Raw genomic sequence first — 20,529 nt, 5'->3', positions numbered from 1 at the left:
AGATATTTTTGTACCTTAATTCATTATTGAAGAAAGAAAAATATGTTTTCATAAATTTAGAGTAGCCTAAGTTTGCAGTATTTATAAGGTTCACAGTAGTGTACAGTAATGTCCTGGGCCTTCACATTTAATCACCACTCACTTACTGACTCACCCAGAGCAAATTCCAGGCCTAGAGGCCTATATAGGGTATAAGTACCGTATATAGTGGTATCATTTTAAAAAATCTTTTATACCACATTTTACTGTATTTTTCTGTATGTAAATACACAGATACTCCCTGTTGTTTTCTAATTACAGTATTCAAGAATAATGCCCAAATTCACTGGGTGGGGGAAATAGTTGATTAATTTTAATAGAAACAAATCTAGTAGTTAAAAGTAAATGCCAGAGTTGTTTTTTCTTCAGAAAGTTATTGTGACATAAAATGAGGCAGATAAAATAAAAGCTCTAATCTGAGAGTTAAGGAGAGATGTCAAAGACTTTTAATGAAACAAAAAAGTGGGATAGATTAGATTAGATAGTAGATTAGTGGCACAGTAGATTACTTGCAGAGCTGACTCTTCCACATTTCAGAGCAACCATTTGTCTTTGGCCCCTCTTCAGGGCTCTGATTGCCTTTGTTCTCCCTGCCCCTCTATCTTATTTTCCCATGACTGCCTCTCCCGGGTCATGCAGTTGCCTCCAATCTATCAGCCGTAAAGTTAGGAAACAATGCCTATAAAATTAATTTACCAAATTATATTGATGACTGTTTGGTTTTCTTGCTGTCTTTCCCATATTTTAATTGGGATCACTGACTTTAATGCCAATAAATATTTAAATGTTTGAGGTACCTGTAATCCCTGAAAGTGACGAAGGGAGTCAGCCATTTCCCTACTCAAGTGCCAAGTGGCTCATTAGGCTGACTTTGATTTGTAGCCAGTTATGGATGAATGGTGGCAGAATTTCCATTATTGATGCTAAGGGGCTCAGCTATGAACAATTTAAACTTAAGGTGAAGAAACATAATCTTTATTCAAAGAGAATTTTTCTAATTTCCTGATAATCAACTTATGGAGACAAAGGCAGTCATTCTGACCCACTGAAAGGCTTATTGTGCAAGTAGAATCTTGTTGGATGACTTTTGTCACATGCTGTAGGACAGTTTATTTTTATCACCACCTGCCACCTCTTCCTTCTTCAGGGGATTGCTGAAGATTGAAAACAAATTGAGTACTAATCATGGAATTTGTGGAAATTAAGAAACCAAAATCTTTGCTTTCAAGTTTATTAAAGAAGATCACTAAAGATATTGACTAGAGAATGCTGTGTGCTATTTCAATTACATTTGTTTTTCTTTTATTAACAGGAATTTTGATTCTTCAAGGAAGTGGCTCAATTTCAATTTCAGGTGACCTGAAATAAATAACAGACATATGGTTATTAATTGCAATGGGTCATTTTCTTGGAAACATATACATTTTCTGCATTTTAATGACAACTATTGGCTTAAAAATATATCTAGTTCAAGGACTGGGAAACCATCTGCTCAAGATGTAGAAAGAAAGCAAAGGTCTTTAGTGGTAAGTAGTAGCTGAAATATTTTTTTCCTAGAACAGTCCTCTGGGTTCTAATTTAATCTTAGATAAGATTAAATTATATATATTAAATTATAAATTATTATAGTAGATTAGATCTATAGTCTATAGTATAGATTATATTTCCTCAATTTATCTAGTAATTGACACACCATCCACTTTGTTTTTGATGTGATGAAATGACAGGGGCCACTGTTATAGGTGAAGCATGAAGCCTTTAAAATTTTACTATAATGTGACACTTGGAAGCTAGGTTTGGAGTTTTAGTATTAGAAAAATTACATGTTTCTCTAAGGGCTAAGCTGGTCTACTTTAAACTCTAGGCCCATAACTTCATCTACTATGATCTCCACCTTGGTTACTCTGATTCAGTCCAAAATGCAGTTATTGACAATAGTATAAAGAGTTACAAATACTTTGTAAACAATATTTTAATAAAATTGAAATTGTTTCTGTTACATCACAACCAAGGAGGGATTTAAAGTGCTGTGCTGGTTAGATCATGGAAGGGCACATGTGTATTTCTGAGTGGACACACGTGACAGTATCTACCAGAGAAAAACATTAAAACAAACAGAAACTGAAAGGGGCCAACTAGGGACATAGTTAACATTTTTTTTTCCTTGAAATTATGGATTCCAATCTGCAAACTTAAAATAAACTATGATTGTAACTATGTGTACTTACCAGGTTTATCGTGACTTTTCCTTCTTGTTTACTTTTCGCTAGGAAGGGGAGTTGTAGGGGCAGATTCAGGTATTGGAATAGGAAAATTACGTCTAAACCATGGAAATCTTGGAAATGGAATTGGTGGAAGTGGGCGAAATGGATATGGGTAAGGGAACACAAAAAACCCTGAAGCTAATTCATCGCTGTCACTGATCTGTTGAAAGAAAGAAGTTAAAGGGTTTATTTCACTTTTTACAAAGAAGAGAAATAAAACAGCTTTGCTTTTTAAATAATGGGCCTTTATTTTTAGGAAGAGGCTTTAGAAGCTCTAAAATCCTTTATCCTTTCTGTGTGTACTATGGACAGGGAGTTTATTAATTTGCATCATTTAAAAATTATTTAGAGATACTCATGTTCCTATACCTTTCCAGTTAAAGGCAAGTTTTTCTGGCAATCACTTCTTTACCTACAAGGCCAAGATGAATGTGGTGTTGCGGTACCATAAAATTTCTCCCTTTGTCTTCATGCAAGGTCTTTACCCAAACCACATGTAGGAAACAACTTCTCTCTTTCATTATCTCAGTTCCTTCTTCCTGCTTTTGCTCTCAATTATCTGTTTGTGTCTCTATTAATTTTTGTATTCTTAACTCTCTGTTTGTAGTTTTTGCGATAAAATCATGCTTTCCAGATAACAGGATTTCCATAAATAAAAACAAACCTTTAAACAAGGCTTTCCCTCTTCAAATTTTATTTTCCTTTTATTAAACAATTTTAGTTAACTGTTTAGACCCAAATAATCCATGAGTGAATTTGCCACTGGGAGGATCATCAAAGCTGGCCCACATCTCTTAATGCTCAGGTTTCATTTTTTACTTTTTTTGAAATGAGTTTCATAGAGCTATGGCAGAGTGGAGGTCTGAGTTATTAGGCTAGATAAATCTAGTAAAAAATATTGCAACCCAAATCATCACAGAGTGATTCGGATTTCAATCCAATTTTTACCGTGACATGAGATATGGAGATAATTTCCTTTCTATGAGCAGAGCTCAAATACCTGAAGTCTAAACCTCTGTTGAGTGCTAATACCAAAAGCTCTTTATGAATCTCTCCACAGTTTGGGAGGTTTAGATAAATCAATATCTTTAACAATAGTTATGAATATTTCACGTGTAAAACTTACATGTAAAAAAGAGAAAAGGTAACTTACACTTCTTTTTTCTCGTTCCTGGTCTTGAGAGACCTAAAGATCAAATAGTGAAATTAATTAAACTCATGCTCATGAAAACACACAAATAAATATATACATATGCATGACAATCTATTACCTAATATTGTTTCATAATAACCATTTTTTAAAATACCCATAATTTGTCTAGAAATGTAGAAATGATTTTCCCAAAAAGTCTTAACATGTATTCTTAAATGGCTCAAATTCACCACTACACCAAAGATATGTGGAACTGAATTATGCACTGAACAGTATATGGTTTATAGTATTTTCTGGACTGTAATGATAAAAGGGCAGGTGTTAGGTATTCTTACAGAATACAGCGTGTGTGTTAGGTATTCTTACAGAATACAGCCTGTGAAGGAGAAAAAAACCCTTAAGATTCATGAATCAAGACAAAATATAGAGTCATGCATTGCCTAACAGCAGAGATAAGTTATGAGAAATGGGTAGTTCAGCGATTTCATCATGTGAACATCATAGAGTGTCCTTACACAAACCTAGGTGGTATAGCCTACTACATAACTAAGCTAGACAGTATAGTCTCTTACTCCTAGACTACAAAACTGTATGGCATATTACTATCCTGAATACTGTAAGCAGTTGTAACACAGTGGTAAGTATTTGTATATCTAAACATATCTAAGACATAGCTAAACATAGAAAAGGTACAGTAAAAAATACAGTATAAAAGATGGAAAATGGTATCCTTTATACCTATACACTTGTATAGGTTATGTACCATAAATAAAGCTTTCAGGACTGGAAGTTGCTCTGTGTGAGTTAGTAAGTGAGTTATTGTATATGAAGGCCTAGGACATTACTGTTTACTCCTGTGGACTTTGTAAACACTGTACACTTACACTACACTAACCTTATAAAAACATCTTTTTCTTCCCTTGATAATAAATTAACCTTAGCTTACTATAACTATTTTACTTTAACTCTTTTGTAATAACACTTAGCTTAAAACAAACACATTTTACAGCTGTACAAAAATACTTTCACTCTTTGTATCCTTATTCTATATGCTTTTTCTTTTTTACTTTTAAACTATTTTGTTTAAAACTGAGACATAAACATATACATTAGCTTAGGCTTCCAGAGGGTCAGGGTCATCAATGTCACTGCTTTCCACCTCCCCATCTTTTCCTACTGGAAGATCTTCAGGGGCAGTTAGACATGTGGAACTATCATCTCCTATGACAATAATGGTTTCTTATGGAATACCTCCTGAAGGACCTGTCTGAGGCTGTTTTACAGTTAATGTTTAAAAAATAGTAGAAGGAGTTAACTCTAAAATAATGATAAAAGCATAGTATAATTAATACACAAACCAGTAACATAGTTGTTTATTATTATGAACTGTGCATAATTTTTTGTGCTCTATTCTTATATGACTGGCAGAGGGTAGGTTTGTTTACACCAGCATCATCTCAAACACATGAACACATGACTAATGCATTGCCCTATGACATAATGATGGCCACAATGTCATTAGGTTCATTATATATATATTTTTTTTTATAGAGAGGGGATTGCTATGTTGCCCAGGCTGGTCTTGAACTTGTGGGCTCAAGTGATTCTCCTGCCTTGACCTCCCAAATTACAGGGAATACAGGCGTAAGCCACTGCACTTGGTAGCTCTGTTATAATCTTTTGGGACCACCCTTGTGTATGTGGTTCCTGGTTGACATAAATATGCCATACATGGCCATACATAAATATTTTGGAATGTATACGTGGATACTTACTGGGAAACCAACAGCCACTGCCAAGATGGCTGTGATCAGGAGGAGAACTTTCTTCATCTGCAAAATGGAGTAAATAAAAAATAAGAAGAACTTTCATTTTATTCATAAATATCCTAGAAGTCAGCTAAAAGACCATGAATTTAAAAGATCCAGTTAAAGTACGAATTATTTGACAAATAGCTCTTTGAGTTTGAGCAAGTCACTTACAATCTTAGGGAATCAATCTATTTGTTAATAAAGAACTTTTTAAAGGTCAAAGCAAAGGAGCTTTGTAATTTCATAACTATATTACACCAATTGCTTTAAAAATAAACATTAACATATTATTTAAGAATACTAATTCCTATGTAACAAACCTACACATGTATCCCTGAACTTAAAATAAAAAATAAAAGAATAACACTTCTACATACTTGATAATCACAGAAAAGTTTCTGGAAGAAATAATGCATTGGTTTATACAGAGAATGTTAGTTTGGAAGTAAGCGGTTATTTAGTGATCTCAGAGAGTTCAACATTCCATATACTAATGTCCATGAAAGTAATGTAGGTGACAGATTTATTTGCACTGGTTCCAGGCAACCCCCAAAAATCCACGATGTGAAGAAGGATCTCTTTTCTTGCCTGCTAACACAAAATCCATCCTGCAGTCCATGGATCATAGAGTAATTTTGACTTTCAAGTTTTATTATTTAATAAATGATAAAGGACTTTCCAAAGCATTTTATTGTATTTTAATTTTCACTGTAGATTCCTTATCATATTACACACACTGTTAAAATGTATCAGTTACAATATTGTTAATATTATATTTGAGAAAACTGAGCTAAATTAAAGATTTATTCAATAATTTTATAATGGAGTACACAATGAAACAGAACATTTGCATTTATAAATATTTGTCATTAATACAATAAACATGTGCATATTACTTGATTTCAAATAATAATGGGAAATCTTCCATATTGGATGGTATCATTAGGCATTAATCCTCTTCTTTGTCATGGTGTGAATGCAGTATGTGCTAAAGAATATGTGGGGGGTTCTGGGAAAGGCAATCAAGTTGAAAATGGAGATTGGCTAGGGGACTTTACTTGAAATTTGCCTCATATTTGTTAATTTATTAGTTTATAAAGGTTTTCTTGATAACTGACTAAGCATGAGATGTTATTCTAGGTGTTGTGTATATACAGGCACACCTCATTTTATTGCACTTCATACATATCTTGTTTTTTACTAATTGAGTGGCAATTTGTGGCAATCCGGCATCGAGCAAGTCTATCAGCACCATTTTTCCAACAGCACATGCTCACTGCATGTCTCTGTGTCATATTTTGGTAATCCTAGCAATATTTTAAAGTTTTCAGTATTATAAGATATTTTGATATCTATAAGACATTATAAAGATGTAATAATATTTTATTATATCTTTTATGGTGATCTGTGATCAGTGGTCTTTGGTGGTGTTACTTTGATCTAATTATTTGGGGGTGTTATGGGAAAAATAAGTGGCAAACTTATTTGATAAATCTTGTGAATGTTTCGATTGCTCCACTCACTGGCCATGCCCCCAGTTATCTCTTCCTCTCCTCAGGCTTTTCTATTTCCTGAGACATGATAATATTAAATCTGGGCCAGTTAATAACCCTACAATGCCTTCTAAGTGTTCTAGTGAAAGGAAGAGTCGCATGTCTCCTACTTTACATCAAAAGGTAAAAACGATTTAGTGAAGAAGGAATGTCAAAAGCCAAGATAAGCTGAAAGCTAGGATCTTGCAACAACTAGTTAGCCAAGTTGTGAATGCGAAGGAAAAGTTTTGAAGGGAATTAAAAGTGCTACTACAATGAACACAGGAATGACAAGAAAGCGAAAGAGTCTTATTCCCAACATGGAGAAAGTTTTTAGTTGTCTGGATAGATCAAACCAGCCAGCACATTTTATTAAGCAGAAGCCTAATCTAGAAGAAGGCCCCTATGCTCTTTAATTATACAAAGATTGAGAGATGTGAAGAAACTGCAGATGAAAAGTTGGAAGCTAGCAGAGATTGGCTATAACATAAAAGTGCAAGGTAAAGCAGCAAGTGTTGATATAGAGGCTGCAGTGTTATCCAGAAAATCTATCTAAGAACACTACAATAAATAATAGATTTTTATTGTGGACGAAACAGTCTTATTTTGGAGAAAGATACCATCTAGAACTTTCATAGCTAAAGAGAAGAAAACAATGCCTGGCTTCAAAGCTTCAAAGGACAGGCTGACTCTTTTAAAGGGATAGAGCTGGTTTCCTAAATTGAAGCCAATGCTCATTTATCATTTAGAAAATCGTAGTGCCCTTAAGAATTATACTAAATCTACTCTTCCTGTGCTCTGTGGATGGAACAACAAAGCCTGGATGGCAGTACATCTAACACAGCATGGTTTACTAATATTTTCAGCTCACTTCTTAGGAAAAAATGTTTTTTTCAAAATATTGCCATTCATTGAAAATGTACCTGAGCCCCCAAGAACTCTGAAGCAGATGTACAAAGAGATGAATGTTGTTTTCATGCCTGCTAACACAACATCCATTCTGCAGCCTATGGATCAAAGAGTAAATTTGACTTTCAGGTTTCATTATTAAATAAATACATTTTGTAAGGCTATAGCTGGCACAGATAGTGATTTATTTGATGGATCTGGGCAAAGTAAATTAAAAACCTTCTGTAAAATATACACCACTCCAGATGCCATTAAGACCATTTGTGATTCATAGGAGGAGGCCAAAATATCAACATTACAGGAGTTTGGGAGAAGTTGATTCCAACTCTTGTGGATGACTTTGAGGGATTCAAGACTTCAGTGGAGGAAGTAACTTGCAGATGTGGTGGAAATAGCAAGAGAACTAGAATTAGAAGTGAAGCTTGAACATGTGACTTAATTGCTTCAATCTAACGGTAAAACTTGAATGAATGAAAAATGGCTTCTTATGGATGAGCAAAGAAAGTGGTTTCTTGAGATGGAATCTACTCCTGGTGAAGATGCTGTGAATATTTTTCAAATGACAGTAAATGATTTAAAATACTACATAAACTTAATTGATAAAGCAGTGGCAGGGTTTGCAAGGGTTGAGTCCCATTTTGAAAGAAATACTGTGGGCAAAATGCTTCACATGCTCCAAAATGCTACAACATCGCATGCTACAGAGAAATCTTTTGTGAAAGGAAGAGTCAATCTGTGTGTCAAACTTCATTGTTGACTTATTTTAAGAAATTGCCACAGCCAGCTTAGCCTTCAGGAACCATCACCCTGATCATTCAGCAGCCATCAACATCAAGGCAAGACCCTACACCAGCAAAAAGATTATGACTCAGTGAAGACTGAGATAATTGTTAGCATTTTTGAGCAATAAAGTATGTTTTAATTAAGATATGTATGTTGTTTTTCTAGACATACTGCTATTACACTTAACATACAATGCTGTAGTGTAATCATAACTTTTATGTACACTGGGAATCCAAGAAATTCATTTGACCTGCCTAACTTTGATACTCATTCTATGGTGGTGGTCAAGAACTGAACCTGCAGTATCTCTGAAGTTTGCCTGTAATATCAGTTTGGAAAGTCCCTGATTTATGGATCTTTTAAGCTCACTGTTACATTGTTATAAGTAAATACATTACAAAGCTTTTTAAAGACTATTTAATTTAATATTTTACATTGGGGAAAATGTCAATTTTTAATATCATTATCATTTTGAAGTACCTTTGAGATAGTGGAGATTCTAGGGAAATTTTATCACCTTTTGATGTTTCCTATACATCTATGAGACAAAAGAACGCAGTGTAAAAAATGTAGCAAAGTTTTGATCTCTGCCTTTATTTTCTGATACTAATCAAAATTTGAATTCAAATTCAAAAAAGTACCAGATAATCTAATAATTTTGAGAAGACAGGAATGTAAAATTCCGGTCAAGTTCAGACTTCTACAGGCAGATTGTTAATGTAGGAAATCAAGAGTAAAAATTATACAAACACACACATGCACACACTCACACATACTCCTCACAGACACACACATACATATACATAGTCCACTTTCTATGTGCAAAGCAACAATGCTGGGTGCTTTCAGGGATACAATGATAAAGCATAATTTCTTCCACTTGAGACTTCCACATGGAAGATGGATACAGATATTTCTGTAATGTGAAAAAAAAGCGTGATATATACCATATGTAGAAATTGCAAAATATTTTGAGTATTTAGAAGAAGAAAGAGGCAGGTTGAGAAAATAGTTTTGGAGAGAATAGAATTCAAGCAGGGCCTTTACAATATAATTTCTTTCAACTGGTTTCAAGAATTATTCAAAACTACATTAAGCAAATAAGTAAATAATCCACATTACAGACTCTTCCAGATCATATCTTAGAGTCAGGACACAGCATAATTACCAGCTATCTCCTTTTATTTTTATACTTATCAAGTCATGATACCCATAGCAGTTTATTGCTGCGTGCTGTAGAATAAATGATTCTCCAGATAAATCAGATGCATCTTCCTAGATAATTAATTTTATTCAAGAGTTTATGGGAAAGACAAATGACTTTTATATTAAAATCAACATAAAATGTTATGGAATGGAATGTAAGTACTGTATATATTTTAAAGATAAAAGAGGAGGCCAAAGAAATTGGCACTTGCTCAGACTTTAGAGAATCTCTGGCGGGGCGTATTCCCTCTGTTTGCTGACCTGATGGCCACAAATTTAAAAATAAACCTGAGGCTCTGTTGTTTCACTCTGTCCACACTCTCCCCCACCAGTGCTCCACTCCTAGAAAGATTCATTTATGGTCACTCTAAAATAAATATTTACTACAGCAGGGTGGTGATTTTAAAAAAAGTTTTGCAAACAGAATACTAAAAATGGTTTTCTAATTACTAAGTCTACAAATTCAAGCAACCATTACAATTTAGTCTCAACAATTAAAATTTTTATGATTTAAAGAAAAATATATGGAGAGATGCTATATATCTATATTTACAAAATAGATATACAATCTTAGTTTACAATGATATTTAAGACCTTTCTTACCTCAAACGTTTCAGTCAGTTCTTTCTCTCTGACGCTGTTATGAGAAATGGCAAGTGACTGGCCCTGGAATATTGTAGCTGTTTTATATACTCAAAGGTATAATGGAATGGAGAAATCTGTGGCTTAAAGGCCTCTCCCCTAGGATCAGTTATTACTCATCAACTATCTCAATATGTTGAAATTGGGGAATAACCAATGTTTAGTTTCCTAGAAACTACCAAATACCAAAATCTTTTGTGGTTTTTTTCTCCAAATTTTGTGTCTTGTATATTTGAAGTTTATCACTTTACATGTTGTTGCTCCATTGTCTACTCTCACAATTTTTTCCTTTACTTCCCACAATTTAAAATACCTCTAAGCATTTTACTGGTATTGATTATAACCTATTGCAAAGCATATTTGATAGTGCTGGAATCTTAAGAAAATAAAAAATCTAAAAATTGTTTAAGATGGGATTAAAATCTTTTGCATGATTCTTCTTTCAACTTCTTCATTTTATTATCAGGATTAGAGCTTCGTAGATGAGTGAATTGTATTTTTGGAGCACCACAGCATCTTGTTTACCTTATGGAACACTATACTCTATTTCTCAACTAAAAATTCACTTACAGCAGAAAAGGTATCATTATTAAGTGCGGGAACAGAAACTAGGGCCCACAAAACATTCAAGAATTACCTTAAATATGCGTGCATATTGTATATGCCTTTTTCAAGAGTCATAAAATTTGAGCTTTAACTAATTCGAGAGCTTTTAAGAATATTCTGTTATTGAGTTCGATTTCTACTTCAAAAGAGGTTATATAGTCCAGATTGTAGTAGTAGTGCATCAAAGTCCCTTTTCTTCTTTTTATTTTTTCTAGAATTCAGTTCTCAAGGCAACTCAGAAAAATAATAGCAGGTAAGTTTTTTTGAGGACTTTAAGTGCTGAAGCACAAATTTAAATGCTTTATATATATAATATAATTAAATCTCCCAAACAACCACCTTAAGAGGAAAGTACTATGATCAACACCATCCCATTTTGAGACTGAGAAGCAGAGAATATTAGTAATCAGTCTGGGTATTACAGCTAGTCTCTGGCAGATATTGAATTGAGCACCAGCAATTTGGTTCTAAAACCCACATTTATAACTGGTGCCTTATACTGTCACTGTTAACAGAAGGTTAGAAAAATCAGCACAAAGCCAGAGAAACATTAAACTACTTCCTTCACCTATAACTCAACGTTTAATCTTATCTCAATGATTTAAAGAAAACTGCCTGAATCAGAAACTTAATATATTAAACCTGTTATGTTATTGTACATATTTTGACCAATTTGGGGCTCATAGTACATTTCCCCAGGGATGGGGATGACAGGTGTGTGTGTGTGTGTGTGTGTGTGTGTGTGTGTGTGTGTGTATTATCCATTTCCTTACCTAAAACCTGTCGTTCAATTTATTCTACTTCAATTTCTTTTATCTGAAATAGCTCTAATGGAGGTTGGCAATTGCCACTGAATTGTGAAAACCATAAATGATTTTCTGTCCTTGTGTTACTTCAATTCTTTTGACATTTAACTGTGACTATGCCCATCTGGAAATCTATTTTTCTCTTCCTTGGCTTCTGTAAGCCAATTTTTCATGTTCTTTTTCTTTTAATAGAAACCATAAGTCTTATTTTCTGATTCTTTTTCTCTGATTTATTATACTTGACAATTTATCTTCTTAGTCTTCACTTTCTCTTATAAAGTAATCTACTTCTGACTCCTTAAGCTATGCCTTCAGCTAAAACTCTTCTCTAATTACCCAGAATCTTGTATCCAACTGAATAAGCATCAAACCCAACCTATTCAAAACCTAGCTTACTCTTTTTCCCTCTTAATATGCTCCTCACTTTTATTTAATCTTTCAGCTGATGACCATCAATCACTCAGTTATCCAAGCAATCAATCTAAGACTCATCCTATTTTTTTCTTGTGCTTTCTCTTCCACATCAAATGGTCATTAACTTTTTCCTTCTTATAATGCTCTGGAATAAATATCTTCCATCTTTTTTGTCTTTTCCTTAGTTTAGTTTCTCATTCTTTACTAGAGTGTTACAGTAGCCTCTTATATAGAGTCCCTGTCCGCAGTATTTTTGTCTTCAAGCTATCTTCCACAGTAATGCTATAATGATCCTTAATGTGGCTTTCAAAAATTTTAAAATAAAAGCCACAGTAAAAAATGCATTATATATCATAACTCAGTCTACACACACACACACACAACTGAGACAAGGATTTAATAAAATATTTTTTACATTGTTTACATGAGGAACATACTGAAATTTTCATTTTTTTAAATTTATGTTCTAAACTAGTTTTTTACGTGTCTTTCATTCTCTTCTAATTTATATCTCTTAAATTCTAGTGACCCACAAAATTCATTTCTCAATGGAAAGAGAAGGATTTAAATAGTGGCAGAATACTAACAATCTAGAAAATGAAACGAACTGCTCAGTGTATTATTCTTACTCATTTGAAGGTTTACATTTTTTTAAATAAAATATTGGGGAAAATTATTTTACTGAAACATTTTCTTCCTCATTGGCTTCTAAGATCCATTAGGGCAAGGATGGTGCATTTTAAATTCTTAGGTGTTAGATACCTAGCATAATGATTGCCCTATAATAGGTAATTAATAAATATTTGTTGTTCAAAGAATATGCATTTGAATAGTTCCTAATATACTTGGAAAAACAAGAAGGAATTGTGTTTTGAGAGGAGTAAGAAGATCAGAGAACTCCAATCTAGAAAAAGAAAGGCTAATTTGTATGAAAAATTGAAAGTTGTTATAATGGCGTTCACTGCACAACTGCCAATACTTTCTGTTGCTATTGTTCATAATATAATTTTGCACCAATGGATACAAATATGACTTAGTATGAAAATATTTATCCCAGAATTTTGTATGAAAGACATTCTTTTTCAGTTACATAAAAAAATAGTTACAGTTTTCAGAAATTAAGCCTGATCCTTATCCATTTGCAAACATGTAGGCAAATCATGAGACTCAGTTTTCATGCCTTGGTGTATAACTAAAGGTATTTTAAATATTTAGTTTAATATGTTGAATCAATAATATTAAATGTTGTGTCATGCACATTGCAGATAGTAAATAACTGTTAGCTGAATTGAAGGAATATTCCTCTCTTAGCCATGTGTTTATCTTCTTAAGAAAATAAAAATTTCTAGTTTTTTAGGACAATCTCCCCTTACAGATTATTTTAAAAGTGAATTTGAGTAATTTAGGAAGAGAATAAACAGTTTTCATTGAACATTCTCTAGTTATTAGTAACACTTGAAATGACCTTTGCGGTTCATTTTCAAGGTGAAGCTGTCAACTCTGGATTTGTGGAAGGTTTGTATTATTTTCTTCAGAAAAGTACTTTGATAGGAAAATCTAACAAAAAGAAGCTATACATTTCTTATGTTGGTACGTCTTTCCTGTATAGAACTGGATTCTAGTGAGCACTTTTTGCTTTCTTGATCTTTGGCTCCCATTTGTGTTGGCTCATAGGTAGTTCTGATGAAGCCAGGAGGTTGTTGCCTAAATCCGAGACTATCCTGTTACTAAAGTTCTAGCCACCACGAGGCAGTAGGAATAATGAAGTCAAGGATGGATAGCTCCAAGCTAAATGAGTTAGGAAGAACTGTAGATTTCACTGATGAGACTGTGTTTAGATATTTAAATCTTCCTCTTTATTAGTTGTAAGTGGACAAATCAGGCTTTCTGAGTTTCAATTTTCATCTGTAAAGGGAATTGTCTCTGGAATTGAGAATAAAATGAAATGAAATGTATAAAAGCACTAATCATGTGTCTAACATCATTAATGGTGGTTTCAGCAGCATCAGAGGCATTGGTTCAGGATATCCTTTAAGTGTAGCTTTGAGTAGATCAGACTTCTTGCTGCCACCCATTTTCAGGGGTCCTTAGATACTTAGGTTCCCTGGCTAATCTAAAGGTATATGAAAGCCACTTAAGTAGTAATTGGAATAAGATAGGGGATTAATATGTTAATTAAATCTGAATATAAGTAGGAGAATTCTGAAACCAAGCAGTATCAGGTAGGAGTAATTATTCTTTCTAGTTGGCCATATGGTTATGTGACCTCCACACAACCTCCAAGTATTGTCTAACAAGCTGTAATCTTGGCTTAATTTATGCAGTAGAAGCTGGGGTTGCTTTCTTGTGTGAATCTTAATTCAATTGGCAAGAATGCAAAATATAGAAAAGACTAACAATGTAAAAGTTACAGCTACAAAAATCCCCTCTGCAAATTCTTCAGCACATGATTGTCCTTAAAAGCAAGGGCAATTGAAGGAACAGCAACCAGGATGTTTTACTGGAAAGAAAAGTTGTGAGTGGCTTCATAGGAAAGAGGTCGGACATGCCATATGAAAAAGTCATAGGTCTATTTGGGGTATTCAGACAGAAGAAGTAAAAACTAATTTATCAAGGTATTAAATTATAAGAAAAAACTTTTGAAAGAACAAAAACACCATCTATGCAGATATTCAAGGAGTGGATAGATGACCAGAGGCTGAATTATAGCAGAGGGGATTTTTGTGTAGTCATTGGAATTTATTAAATGAACTCTCTGTGATTTGCCTTTCAACCATAATATTCTCAGACTGGGTGTTACAGGGATGAGAATTATCTACTGGAAGAGGTTAAGCAACTTACTAAATACAAAGGCGCCATTATCATTAAAGGATTAGACATTAGTATTAGGGAAATGCCCACTATGGGAAGCCTTCGCAGTGGACTTCCTCACCATTACATCAATAAGAGAGCAGAAATATTTTATTTCACGTCTTTTGGCCTATACAGTTTGCAAAAATTAAAAATATGCATACCTTTTAGGCAATCCTCCTTCTCTGCTGTGAATTGGAAATCCTGATAAATGATCTGAACTTTATCAGGTTTGCATATATCTCAATACTAAGGAGCAATTTTTAATTTTAAGAAGTTTATGACAGACTTTCTAAGAGAATAAATACAAATTAATCCATGAATTCTCATTAAAGCCTCTCCTAACATTATGTGTTCAACTAAAAGTCAACTTAGTGTCTGTGAATTCCTGCAAAATAATTAGAACCCTGTGTGTCAATGTTGTAGAATCTGAAGAGGTGTCAATTCCCAAATCTCCAGGGCATACTTGGCCCTAGCTATAAAAAGGGAAGTAGTTGCAGAGTTCTCATGCCCAGATTTCATACTAACAACTGCCAGAGCCACAGCCAGACAGCCCCGTGTCCACCGTACTGCTCACTGAAATGGGCTCGGCTTACATCGGCACCAACTATGTGCTTCATAAATATTGAGTGAAGGATTTAAGCTCCTCAGTACCTGCCTTGGACATTTCTTGGTGCTTTTTTATCATTTATACCATAGCTTGAAGCCTGAAGGGCAACAGTTGAGAAGCCTTGCTTATTAACTGACCCCACACTCATAAGATTGGATTTTACCAGTATAATTTGAATGTGTATCAAGTTTTATTAATAATTTTATATACCTCATATGGCTTAAGTGATAGAAAGGGCTATATTTTGCATATATTACAAATAGCCTATGTAACCTTTTCCTAAACTTCCCTTTCTCTTTGCAAAATATATAATTTCTCCATTTGAAACTAATATTGCTTTAAATATAAATCCACCAAAAATTGAAGACCCCCTTTATACACTATCATACATATTTTCTATAATGTTTGACTAGAACATAAGTATTTTGATATAAAACATGGTTTATTGTACTGGTGCCATGTCTGTATTATACGGAGCTCTGTCGACAGTCTTCCTGTGACTCCGCTGAGTAGACATTTTTCCCAGTTGCAAGCTCCTTTTGCAGGGTTTAAGAAAGAGGCCTGTGGAGTCATGCATATGGGTCTGAATCATTCCCATCTACTCACTAGTTGATTTAACTAGCACAAATCTCTTAACCTTTTGCAATCATTTAGTTTTTTTTTTTTAGAAGGAGTCTCCTCGCTCTTCGCCCAGGCTGGAGTGCAGTGGCACGATCTCGGCTCACTGCAACCTCTGCCTACTGGTATTAAGCAATTCTGTGTCTCAGCTTCCCGAGCAGCTGGTATTACAGGTGCCCACGACCATGACCAGCTAATTTTTGTATTTTTAGTAGAGATGGGGTTTCACCATCTTGGCCAGGCTGGTCTTGAACTCTTGATGTTGTGATCCACCTGCCTTGGCCTCCCAAAGTGCTGGGATTACAGGTGTGAGCCACCGTGCCCGGCCATTTAGTTTTTTCCACATTGAAATAACAGTAACATGTTTTCCTATTTGCCACATAGCTCTAACAATTTAAACAAAAATGATGCTTTCTATATGGCAGTGTGTTGATATCAAAAGTACAAACTTGAGCTGCTAGTCTCATTTGGATATATATCTGATCTTCACCACGTTAATTGTCCAAACTTTTACATTTTTGTCCCGTTATGTTTATCTTTGAATTATCAAAGTATAAGAAGTTTTTTTGCATTTAACAAAGATTCTAATTATACTAAATCCTAAGGGATGCATATAATTAAATAATGACCTCTTAGCTATGTATTATTTAAGGTAACATTGTCAAAATGCTTATGAAACCGCCAAGCACTTTTTTATATACACACACACCCCCACACACAAACAAGTGTATGTGTATATGCACATACATTCACCGTAGACGTACATAGGATAAACTATAAAATTACCGCATTTTATAGGTGAAGAAAATTTGCTTAGAAAGTTAGGTATTTAAGATTACAAATCTATAAACTGTGTAAATGGAATTCAGAATGAGTCAGTTCCTAACAACAACACACAGAACATGAAATGAATTAGGGAAAAGTCCACTTAGTGAATCACAGTGGGATGGCAAAAATTTTAAATAATTTCATTAGCTGTTATTTTAAAAACAATTTTTATAATAAAAGAGAGGTTTCATTCAAATATGTTTAAACAAAAGACTAGTTTACAACGTGGTCTTTTAGTTTTATATGCTTTAAATAATAACCGTATATTTTAAAAGGTGGTACTTTTTGATAGAGACAAGTGAAGTTTTGAAACCAACCAAAATTTTTTTTTTTTTGAGATGGAGTCTCGCTCTGTCACCAGGCTGGAGTGCAGTGGTGCGATCTTGGCTCACTGCAGCCTCTGCCTCCCGGCTTCAAGTGATTCTCCTGCCTCAGCCTCTCGAGTAGCTGGGACTAGAGGTGTGTGCCACTACGCCCAGCTAATTTTTGTATTTTTAGTAGAGACAGGGTTTCACCATGTTGGCAAGGATGGTTTCAATGTCTTGACTGCGTGACCTGCTCGGCTCGGTTTCCCAACATAATTCTTAATAAAATTTGATATGATATATAAAGTGTTTTGGTAGAGTTTTCATGTCTTATGACTTAGGGAAAATTAGTACGTGACTGCCCAGCTGTTGACCCTTGCCATTTAAGTTTTGAAATTATGGATAAAATCAGGTTGTTTCCAAAGTAGTTTATATTTGTTAATTCATTAATCATTTATCGTGTTTTAATTATATGCCAGGCAGTAGGCATAGGACTGTAATACAGTATTCAGGGAAGACATCGTCCATACCTTCCTAGAGCCATAAGAGGCTATAAAGCTTCTTAGACAAATTAAACAAAAATAACAATAGAATTTATATGTGAAATGACTCAGGAAGTTCAGCACTATAGAAATACACAAAAGTAAAGATGTAAAAGTCAATAAGGCATCAGCCAAATTAAGAGGATCAAGAGCAATGTTCCAGACAGAGGGAACAGAGTATGAAATTTTGGAGATCACAGGTACAAGGCATATTTCATGGAGTATAAAGGAGTTTACTTTGGCTAGAGTGTAATAATCAACGAAGGTAAATGGCAGACCATTTATCACCAGGACCAAGTGATTATGGACCTTTTAAGCCAAATAAAAGAGTTTGAAATTTAAACAGAGACCAATTGGAAGGTATTGAATAGTTTTAATGAAGGGAGGAACATGATTAGGCTTCCATTTCTGAACGGATCATTCTTTGTTAGAAGAAAGAATATGAAAGCATTGTATATCTCGATCCTCCTAAGCAATGAGGATGACCTTTAGGAGAGTAGTGACAATGAAGATAAAGAGAAAGCGATTGAAGAGATACTTATGAGAGAAAACCTTCAGAATGTAGACTTGCATCTTTTGGTAATGACAAAGCTTATGTTGACCTAAAACTGTCTGTTCCTAATAATGATAAACTCTGGACAAAATATGATAAACAACAATTTGAAGGCATTGAACATGAGGGAATATAGGCAGAAACTCAAGGAAATTGATTTTTGAGAGAAATGTCAGATAAACGTTTATTTGTGTTTTCCTTTATAGGCATTTCCCAGCTTCAGAGTGTGAGGGCAGAAACTTCGAAAAGGAAGTCACAGTCTTTTTAGCCTGAGGCATCAAAAGAGAGAGTTCGGGAATGGCTGAGGGGAAAAGTCCCATAAAGATGAGAACTTCTGAATCAGGAGCCTTGAAATCTGTGTGTGTATTTCTCCCAAATCCTTGGGTGACCATAAAATATGCACATGCAGGACAAGATATTAAGGAGGATCCCAGGGCAAACCAATAGCTGGAAAACTAAAAAACTGAGCAGTCATTTCAGCAGTTTCTTTTGCAGTGGAGATGAGCAAGCAGTTAGAGTTCTACCTACTTGGAGGAAACTGATAAGGATCCCTGGCTTTTTATTGAACCTGATTAACATCACTGTTTTTTTTTTTTTTTTTTTTTTTTTACCAGAAAAGCAACCTTGTAACTGCAAACACCATGTTGATAGAATTGAGTTTTGCCTTAGCACTAAGGGTAAAAGTTAAATAAGAATATGAATAAGTAAAATAAACTGCAGGGCATTTTCTTAAGTGAAGCAACTCAGAAACAGAAAATGACATACCACATGTCCTCACTTATTAGTAGAAGCTAAGTAATGTGTACACATGGACATAGAGTATGGAATAAGAATTCATGGATTATTTTGTGTTTATTCTCTTAGAAAGTCTCTCAAAGACTTTTTAAAATTAAAAATTGCTCCTTAGTGTTGACATATATGTGAGCCTGGTAAAGGTCAGATCATTTATCACAGTTTCCAGTTCACAGCAGAGAAGGAGGATTGCCTAAAAGGTATGCATATTTTTAATTTTTGCAAACTCTAAGCCAAAAGACGTGAAATAAAATATTTCTGCTCTTTTATTGATGTAATAGTGAGTTAGTCCACTGCTAAGGCTTCCCATAGTGGGCATTTCCCTAATACTAATGTCTAATCCTTTAATGATAATGGCGCCTTTGTATTTAGTAAGTTGCTTAATCTCTTCCAGTAGATAATTCTCATCCCTGTAACACCCAGTCTGAGAATATTATGGTTGAAAGGCAAATCACAGAGAGTTCATTTAATAAATTCCAATGACTACACAAAAATCCCCTCTGCTATAATTCAGCCTCTGGTCATCTATCCACTCCTTGAATATCTGCATAGATGGTGTTTTTGTTCTTTCAAAAGTTTTTTCTTATAATTTAATACCTTGATAAATTAGTTTTTACTTCTTCTGTCTGAATACCCCAAATAAACCTATGACTTTTTTCATATGGCATGTCCGACCTCTTTCCTATGAAACCACTCACAACTTTTCTTTCCAGTAAAACATCCTGGTTGCTGTTCCTTCAATTGCCCTTGCTTTTAAGGACAATCATGTGCTGAAGAATTTGCAGAGGGGATTTTTGTAGCTGTAACTTTTACATTGTTAGTCTTTTCTATATTTTGCATTCTTGCCAATTGAATTAAGATTCACACAAGAAAGCAACCCCAGCTTCTACTGCATAAATTAAGCCAAGATTACAGCTTGTTAGACAATACTTGGAGGTTGTGTGGAGGTCACATAACCATATGGCCAACTAGAAAGAATAATTACTCCTACCTGATACTGCTTGGTTTCAGAATTTGCCTACTTATATTCAGATTTAATTAACATATTAATCCCCTATCTTATTCCAATTACTACTTAAGTGGCTTTCATATACCTTTAGATTAGCCAGGGAACCTAAGTATCTGAGGACCCCTGAAAATGGGTGGCAGCAAGAAGTCTGATCTACTCAAAGCTACACTTAAAGGATATCCTGAACCAATGCCTCTGATGCTGCTGAAACCACCATTAATGATGTTAGACACATGATTAGTGCTTTTATACATTTC

The 20,529-nt window shown here is 34.3% G+C and overlaps 1 protein-coding gene across 1 annotated transcript, besides 1 other annotated feature; it reads right to left on the bottom strand.

The window, feature by feature from the left end:
* Nucleotides 1-1,230: 1,230 nt before the first annotated feature.
* FDCSP (follicular dendritic cell secreted protein) lies at nucleotides 1,231-10,359 on the bottom strand. Its single transcript, NM_152997.4, has 5 exons — nucleotides 10,301-10,359; nucleotides 5,232-5,288; nucleotides 3,457-3,489; nucleotides 2,268-2,463; nucleotides 1,231-1,398 (listed from the first exon to the last, which is right to left on the bottom strand). The coding sequence occupies exons 2-4, from the start codon at nucleotides 5,286-5,288 to the stop codon at nucleotides 2,296-2,298; spliced, it is 258 nt and encodes an 85-aa protein (NP_694542.1). The 5' UTR covers nucleotides 10,301-10,359; the 3' UTR covers nucleotides 1,231-1,398; nucleotides 2,268-2,295.
* Nucleotides 15,510-15,662: a silencer, noted in NCBI's record as "fragment chr4:71086538-71086690 (GRCh37/hg19 assembly coordinates)". NCBI's record gives its function as "represses an EF-1alpha promoter that drives an FKBP-Casp9 reporter gene in an ReSE screen in K562 erythroleukemia cells {active_cell/tissue: K562}" and the evidence as "EXISTENCE:reporter gene assay evidence [ECO:0000049][PMID:32094911]".

This window comes from Homo sapiens, chromosome 4, assembly GCF_000001405.40.
Source record: "Homo sapiens chromosome 4, GRCh38.p14 Primary Assembly".
Lineage (NCBI taxonomy): Eukaryota > Metazoa > Chordata > Mammalia > Primates > Hominidae > Homo > Homo sapiens.
This window is presented reverse-complemented; position numbering and strand designations above follow the sequence as displayed.

Coding starts and splice junctions, on each gene's coding strand:
- FDCSP (NM_152997.4), bottom strand. CDS start 5,288: ATGAAGAAAGTTCTCCTCCTGATCACAGCCATCTTGGCAGTGGCTGTT. Junction 3,490..5,231: donor CAGTGGCTGTTGGTTTCCCA/GTAAGTATCCAC, acceptor TTTGATCTTTAG/GTCTCTCAAGACCAGGAACG. Junction 2,464..3,456: donor AGGAACGAGAAAAAAGAAGT/GTAAGTTACCTT, acceptor TTCTTTCAACAG/ATCAGTGACAGCGATGAATT.